The 9012-nt window shown below is 38.3% G+C and overlaps 1 annotated feature.

Annotated features, from left to right (window-relative positions):
• Positions 561–1061: an enhancer, noted in NCBI's record as "H3K4me1 hESC enhancer chr2:187775904-187776404 (GRCh37/hg19 assembly coordinates)". NCBI's record gives its function as "activates a minimal SCP1, AML or CMV promoter by ChIP-STARR-seq in primed H9 embryonic stem cells {active_cell/tissue: H9 hESC(primed)}" and the evidence as "EXISTENCE:reporter gene assay evidence [ECO:0000049][PMID:30033119]".

Genomic DNA, 9012 nt, shown 5'->3' on the forward strand with positions numbered 1-9012 from the left:
TTATGCCAGTATTACAGAATTGTTTGTTTTGAGAGCACCTTCGGATATAAAATAAGGTGATGTAGCAAAATAAAAGAACAGATAGACAAGACTGGTCTTTTCTCATCGTGTTCTACTTGACTTTTTCTGATGTCAGTTGCAATAGAAATCTCTGTGTGCCAGGGAAGGACAATCTCTGAGCTGAGAATATATATCAATAGAAACTTCAAAACTGTAATTCAGTGAAGTAATTGATACAATGGAGGGTCAGTGAAACATTTAGAGGGAGCAGAGGAGAAGCATTCTGTACTGCTTAGTGAGCTCTGGGAAAAGTCACAGCAATTCAGCTGAGATCTGAGGGATGAGTAGGGGCTCCTCAGGTGGAGACGATGATGGAAGGATTCCAGCAGGTAGAAGAACATGTGCGAAGCTGAAGAGTGGGGAGCAAGCTTGGCATACTGGGGAACATCCTTAGAATTGTTTAGAATCACTGGAGAGTAGAGACTATTCTGAAGAGTGATACGTGATGCAGGAAGTGGCAGGAGACAGTCAGATAGGCAGGCTAGTGTCAGATAAAAGATGTTGTATGCTATGTGGTTATGTCAGAGTTTTACCGTGAGGGGAGGTATTATGCAATAGAAACATAACCTGCAAAGGCAACTATAGATATAAACCAAGTCTGGGACACCACGTAGAAGAAATTCCCAGGCAAAGTTTTTGCTTGGCCACTCAATGGATTATATTTTGTGTCAGTATCAGGAATTGTGGGAAACAATAACACATGGTTACTGTCTTTAATATACCAATAACTCAATAGAGGAGCCAGAAGAGCAGCGGAGGCAAGGACAGCCAACGAAGCTGTGGGTGGCAGAGCCTGCCTCCTCTGTGCCCTTTAACAGCTTGGTCCTCATCAAGTCTGTCTTTTAGAGTGTCTGTATTTCATGGTAGCAGCTGCCTTCTCTCATTGTCTCAGGTTCTTAGAGGAGGAGCAGCCAACCTCCACTGGTCTTGGGTGACAAGAAAAGCCCTTGGCACAACCCGCTGGGGGGTCCCGGTTCGACGTTTACACAGGCTGTGAGGACGGTGGGCTTCAGGCTCCCACCCTACCTTGGAATGCCAGGGAGGCCCTGGTTCTAGTGTCAGTACCGTGGAGTCCCCTCACCTTGTCCCTCCTCAGCCAGCAGAGGCCCAGGCCAGGCAAATGGAGGAAGTGGCTGGGGCCCTTCTTCACCCCAGAACCCAAAAGTTAGTCAGGGCTCAACCCAGAGGCCTGTGACAGTGTCAATAAAGTTTAGCTTTGTAAGTGAAAGAAAAAGAAGATTGAGTATCATAACAAATAAATTGTCTTTTTATTCTACTTCAATTCCCCTTTATTTGTATTTCCGTTATTTCATTATGAGTCGGCATAACTGCTAACTGAGGATAAGTTTAGGGTGAACAAGAAGATGGTATATTTAATTTATTGGAATGAATTTCTTCATATATAATGCTATTTAGTTTTCATATGAAGGATTGGATGTGGATAGGCTGGCTAGATTAGCTTTGTCTTAGATTTAATAATATTAGCAAATTTGAGGAAAGCAGCTTAAACAGAAGCTGTAGTTTAAATACTAGCAAAGTTCCGCCCGGTGTGGTGGCTCACAGCTGTAATCCCAGCACCTTGGGAGGCCGAGGTGAGTGTATAACTAGGTCAGGAGTTCGAGACCAGCCTGGCCAACATGGTGAAACCCCGTCTCTACCAAAAATACAAAAATTAGCTGGTGTGGTAGCGGGCACCTGTAATCCCAGCTACTCGGGAGGCTGAGGCAGGAAAATTGCTTGAACCCGGGAGGCGGGGTTTGCAGTGAGCCAAGATTGTGCCACTGCCTTCCAGCCTGGGCGACAGAGCGAGATTCCATCTCAAATAAATAAATAAATAAATAAATAAATAAATAAATACTAGCAAAGTTTGATAACATGGGCAATGGTGAGACTTTGACAATTATCTTCTAATCTACTAATGCTCTCTTTGAGTGCAGTCTAGAGTTTATTTTGACACTAGAATTTTTATCAGCTTAAATTTCTGATATCTATTTTTTTCTAGCTGATTCTTCATGTCTACTTGGGTTTATTTTATTGCAGTCTATTTTTGTTTTAAACTTTTTTGCTTGGTTTAAATTGTTGTATTCTTTTGTCTATTTGAACACACAAAACATGCTTGTTTTAAAATCTTCATGAGCCTGTTCCATAAAATTAATTTCATTTAGGGTGAATTCCTGTTACAGATTTTTTTTTGGTGTGGTTTTCTGAGTGTCTTAGCATTAATTTTGAATTGTCTTTTTGAATTTAAGATTGCAATCTCATTTTGTGTGAGAGTTCATGTTTTTGCTGTCTTATTTCTCTCTTTTTTTTTCTCTCAGATTCCCACTATTTGTTTTTCATGCACCCCTTAGGCTCTGAGTCCAGTATGGGATCATATAATGGCATTTTGTGCTCTTGTTCTTCAGTGATGTTGGAGACATCACAGATCCACACACGGAGGAATTGAATGGCTTCAGCTCAGTTTCTGTTTGCATAGCTAAGCCTTCATTCCCTCTTCCGCCCCAAGCCAACAGAACAACAATCCATTCTGTTTTTCAGCCTCTTGTCATTAATGGACAGTGAAGCCACACTGTAGCCCCTACCTGCAAACAGTAGGCTGTTCATGTCTTACAGAGGACACTTATAGTACTTCTCACCCTGCAAGAGCCCTTCTGAGCTGCCACAATCTACTTTTGGTCCATGGAATTATTTGTCCTGTGTCTGTCTCAGTGGGATGTCTTCTTTGTTTTCTCTTTTAAATTTTATTTTCTTTTACATATTCCTGATTATTTTTAATAGCACTGATTATACTCAGTACTTATTTATTTATTTCCGGTCTTTATACTCCACTAGAATGTAAACTTCTATGGCAAGAATCTTATTCATTGTTAAATTGCAGATTTCTAGAACAGTTCCTTGGACATAATTGGCTTTGTAAATGAATTTCAACCCATTGTATGTTTTCTTTATAAGTAGGAGAAATAACCACCAGAAGAAATAAACAAAAGCTTAAAATGAAAAAAGAAATTTCATATTTAAAAACATTTTTAGGAGATAAATAGTTTTACCTTCAGTTTTCATTCTCACATCATCAATCTCACCTTTTTTTCTAAGTCATCTCAGAATACGTGAACTACTAATTCCCATCTTAGACGGAAAATCTCCCTTGATCTCATATTTCCACATTCCTCTCCAGCTGCTCATACAGTTTCCATACTATGCTTCACATCAAAATATTCCCAAATAATAGTATAGCATCACTACACTTTTTACCTCGTGTGTATTGTTCAACTCTATAATCTAGCTTGCTTCCTCATCCCTCCACTGACACTATGCTTGTCCGTGTCAGCAGCAAAAAAGGGCCTCTTCTCTGTCCTCATCAGGCAGTAAGCAGCATCTAACACAGCATTCAACATAATTGATCACTTCCTCTTTTTGCAAGCACTTTTCTCTCTCAGGTCACTATAGTATCGCACTTCTCTGGATTTTCTATTACTTCACTGGCTGCTCCTTTCCAGTCTCTGTTGGTTCCTCATCTACTTTTGGACCTTTAGATACTGAAGTTGCGGCCGGGCATGGTGGCATGCCTGTAATTCTGGCACTTTGGGAGGCTGAGGCGGGTGGATCACCTGAGGTCAGGAGTTTGAGACCAGCCTAACCAACATGGCGAAACCCTTCTCTACTAAAGATATGAAAATTAGCCAGGTGTGGTGGTGCATGCCCGTAATCCCAGCTACTTGGGGGGGCTGAGGAAGGAGAATTGCTTGAACCCAGGAGGCAGAAGTTGCAGTGAGCCGAGATCATGCCACTGCACTCCAGCCCAGGCAACAGAGTAAGACTCCATCTCAAAGAAAAAAAAATAAGTAGACGCAACTGGAATAAGACCATAGAGAAAACAAAGAAGAAATAAAGAGGGAGAAGTTACTTTCAATTAGGTGATCAGAAAAGTCATATCTGAGGATACTTTAAGATGAATAGATATTTAACCTGAGAAGTAAACAAACTGCAAAACCATATTCATATAGAGATTTTAAGAAAACCAAATTGATACTTGGTAAAATGCTAAATTTTGTTCATTATGTAAACTCAAGGACTCTATTTTGCTTGTTTCTTCTGATTTGCTTTTCACACCAGTTGATGCATAGATCCCTTAACTGGCAAAAATTATACTACATATACAACCAACATAAGAAACAATCCTTCGCTTTCATATTAATTGATACAAATTCATAGCTGTGAACTATATTTCTTTACAGATATTGGACCTCAATATTTTTGTGAGTGACTAAATTTTTGTGACCATTTACAAATTTATTAAAACCTTTAATTTATATTCTAAGATGGAGATTTATGATTGTTTTCAAAATGACAGTTCATTTACATTTTAATTTATAAATGTTTTAACTGAGTAATTTATTTTTGTCAGCACAAGCTCCCGTAACTGGAACTCAGATATAACATGAGGAAATTTAAAGCTACTTTTTAATTTAATTAAACATCTCAAAAATATGTTTATAAAAATTAGTCCGTTGTTTTATAACCTTTAGATGCTTGTTTCTTCCTCTTGAAGACCTTTTCCTCCAGTTGAGTGTTATGTTTTGGCAAGGCTTAAATAAACTGAATCATCTGAGATTAGATTCTATTAAAAGGTCAAGATGATTTTAGACTTTAAAAGTTATGGCTTGAGTTATAATTCTATTAGAAATTTATTGGCCGGGCACAGTGGCTCACGCCTGTAATCCCAGCACTTTGGGAGGCAGAGGTGGGTGGATCACAAGGTCAGGAGATCGAGACCATCCTGGCTAACACGGTGAAACCCCAACTCTACTAAAAATACAAAAAATTAGCCAGGCCTGGTGGCGGGTGCCTGTAGTCCCAGCTACTCGGGAGGCTGAGGCAGGAGAATGGTGTGAACCCAGGAGGCGGAGCTGGCAGTGAGCCGAGATGGTGCCACTGCACTCCAGCCTGGGCGACAGAGCAAGACTCCATCTCAAAAAAAAAAAAAAAAAAAGAAATTTATTAAAATTCTTTAAAAAATGTATTAAACTAAATTATATGTTTATCCTGTATCTAATGATGGGAGAAGCTGCTCTTACAATACTATTAACTGTTGTTAATATCCAAAAAGGATATATTGTGAAAACACACACACCACACACACGTGCACACACACACGTTCACACACTCCAATTTGTAGCTTTAAGGATTTCTTGTTTAGATGAGTGCTTTGAATTTCTAGGAGCTGGAAACTAACTAGACAATAGAGTTCTACATTTTGATTCAGAAAGTTTTCTCTTGCATAAGATAGTATTGTTTTGTTATTATTTTATAAGTGCCATTTGTTATTGTTGTTAAAGCACTATTTAATGGATTTTGTCATCCAGAACCATATTCTTACAAGCTTTTATTTTAATAACACCAAAATCAGCCGGGTGCAGTGGCTCACACTTGTAATCCCAGCACTTTGGGAGGCCGAGGCGGGTGGATCATCTGAGGTCAGGAGTTCAAGACCAGCCTGGCCAACCTGGTTAAAACCCGTCTCCACCAAAAATACAAAAATCAGCTCGGCGTGGTGGCAGGTGCCTGTAATCCCAGCTTCTCAGGAGGCTGAGGCGGGAGAATTGCAGTGAGCCGAGATTGTGCCATCACACTCCAGCCTGGGCGACAGAGTGAGACTCCATCTCAAAAAACAAAAAAAAGAAAAGAAAAGAAAGCCAAAATGTGAAAATATTCATGCCTCATTAACTAGCTACTGTTTTATTGGGAAAATAATTTAAAAATAATACTTTTCATTTAATTTATGAAGCATAAATATACTTTATACAAAGTATACATTTAAATATACCTATTTTAACTGTATTCTAGTGTATTAGTTCATTTTGCATTGCTATAAGGGAATACCTGAAACCAGGTAATTTATAAAGAAAAGTGGCTTATTTGGCTTGCAGTTATGCAGGCTGCACAAGAAGCATAGCACCAGTGGCTCCTTCACTTGAGGGCCTCAGGAGGCTTTCAATTACAGTGGAAGATGAAGGGGAAGTAAGCATGTCACATGGCAAGAGAGGGAAAAAGAGAGAGAGAGGGAAGGTCCCAGACCTTTTTTAAGAACCAAATCTACATGAACTCATTACTGTGGAGAAGGCACCTAGCCATTCATGAGGAACCCACCCCCATGACCCAAACACCTCCCACTAGCCCCCACCTCCAATACTGTGGATCACATTTTAACATGAAATTTGGAAAAGACAAATATCCAAACTATATCACCTAGTGATATAGGTAAGATACTTTTGAAGCAATGCAGTGAATTTGAGAAAAAGGGAGTATTTTATTTGAGTAGAAAATAGAATTGAGATCCAGAGAGTTCATTGCTATTCCACTGCCTGGCTTTCAAGAATAACATATGCTCAAGTAATCCATTATGTGGTATCCTTTAACCATCTATCTGTTAGTAAGTCCCAGATGCCCTGAAATCTCCTCCAAATTTGGAATTTGGAATGTTACTATTTTTCTACTGTTCAGACTCTAGATGTTTTTTAAAAATAAAATTCAAAAGCCTCTTGAAGTAGTAAGAACTAAATAATAAATGTTTGTCTAGTACACCACAGTTGTTAGATAACAGCTCACTAAGGATTAGGACAATCTTTTAGGCCATAGGGAAGGTAAATGAAGGTGGGGGAAAAAGTTAAATTTTGGGTTAGGATTAACCTTTTCTATGTGTAAAATGAAGACAGGAATGAACTGAAGCAAAATTTTCCCCTTCATCTTGCTTTGTATAACATGTGGCTGTGTTTACTTGGTGTTTCACACAAGAATTTTGTGAACTTCATAAGAATTCCTCAGCATGTTTTTAGGATTAGAGATATTATGATAACTGGGTATTGGAGTGATTAACTAACCATTCATATGTTTTCATGTGTTTGTCCTGCATTTGTTAACTGATAGGCTTCCTGTTTAATTGAATAAAAATGTATTTTTTTTGATTGGCAGCTTCTGTTTGTGTAGCTAGATTTTAAGATATTATTCAGGGAATTCAGACATGTCATCACCGTGACCTTGGTGTCTGTCCTCTTACTTGAAAAGGTTGATTGAACGGGAAATGTTTCAATTAGAAGAACGGATTTGGATGGAAGTACGATTAAAGAATCTAGTGTTTGAGTGGGAAGAATAACTTTTCTGCTCAATCATGAATCATGAATCCTGCTTTTCATCACTTAAAAAAAATAGGAAAGGGCAAGGTGTCTTACCCAGAAGTAATATATTATTTATGTAGTCCTTGATGTATGACCCAGAGTTAGTAGTTAATATTCCATGAGCTGACCTAACCAGTTGTACAATGGTTTGGTTCAGTAATGCACATAGTGTGCCCTTACCAACATGCATTGCCATCTTCCCTGTAAACAAAACGACTGCATCATGGTATGACGAATGCAAAGGAATTTATCTTTGCCACAGGGTTGCAAATCACATACTCATCCCAGATCTTCATCCATACAACTTGTTTTGTGAAGAGCAACTACACAGGTGCGTTATGCTGAACCCAAACACAATTGTGACTGTACCAGAGAAATGGAACTAACAATTTTCTCAAGTGTTTATGTTGAACACAATTACCTACTCAAAAAACCACAATAGTAGGAATGTGTTTTTACAGAACCCCTTTCTATTTTTCATTTTTGAGAATTTTTTTAAATTCAAATGAATATCAAAGATTCTCATCTTTCTTACCTATGAAGGACTTGCCACTTATCTGTCAAATTATATTGCTTTTTCTCCAAAACAGTGAAAATTGTTTATATTAGACCATGACTAGACTGTCTTCCTCAATAGAGAATTCAGTACTAATATTTATGGGAGCATACTGCTACCTATGCTGATTTATTATTAGCATTTTTACTGTTAGAATTTTATTGACCTTTAAAAGTTTTTCCTCCCTTCAAATTGCAAGCTTCCCAGAAGGAGAGGTTTGTGTATTCTGATCTAATGTTCATGGTTCTCATACGACGTAGTGCTCAGTTGCTTCCAGTCCCTGATGCCAAAAATGTTGGGGACTGCTGTTGTATAGCATTCCTTTGGAGTTCTATCGTAACTCTTTCCAGTCCTGATTGTGTAGCAGAAATGCTATTTACCTTTGATAGTCAGTGTCAATGTGGTCAACCAATAGCATACTTGTGATTTTTAGCTCTTTACCTAGAGACAAGAGGAAATCAAAATTATCAATAGTCAGCCTGTGTTTCTGATTCAGAGAAAGTTTTATTGTGTTTATTGGTATACACATCTCTTTCTTGGGTACTAAAGTTTATAGGAATGTCAATTCCTCAGCTAAAAAGCAAACAATTTATAAGATCCTTAGATATAATTATAGGAGCTTCATTTGCACGTCTTCTTCATACTAAAATTTGTGCATTTTTAGATAAACAGAAGCATATATTAACTCAGAGAGAAAAATGCATCCTGTAAGTTAGTGTCCCAACTTTACAAAAAGTCTTGTCTGCAAACTGGTAGTGCAGCTAAGTTTATAAACTATCCCATAAGATTACTGCCCTTGGACATGAGCTCACTGATTTAAGATGTGAGGCAGGTACCTGGATTGGAAGTAATATTTTTTTGGAATGCTTCCTTGGCAATGAAAAGGCCACCCTTTAATTAAACAATGGTCAGGTAGCTGGCTAGTTCCCTTAGGGTATCACGTTTGACCACCATTTCTGGCAAATTGGACATTCAGTAGTAGCAGCAGTTAACTAAGCTCATGTATAATGATCATTCTTGTTACCATAACAACTTTGTTTATAAACCTGAAGTCCCGGGCCAACTGTGGAAGGAGTATGACTCATATTCACATTCAGCTTATACATCTGGATTAAGCCTCCTCTTATGTGGAGTAGAGTGTATTCTGGTTAGAATCCACATGGGATACAAATATTTTTATGATTTGGACTTTTTTCAAGTATTCCATCCACATACTCCTTTCCA

Source organism: Homo sapiens, chromosome 2, assembly GCF_000001405.40.
Source record: "Homo sapiens chromosome 2, GRCh38.p14 Primary Assembly".
Taxonomy (NCBI): domain Eukaryota; kingdom Metazoa; phylum Chordata; class Mammalia; order Primates; family Hominidae; genus Homo; species Homo sapiens.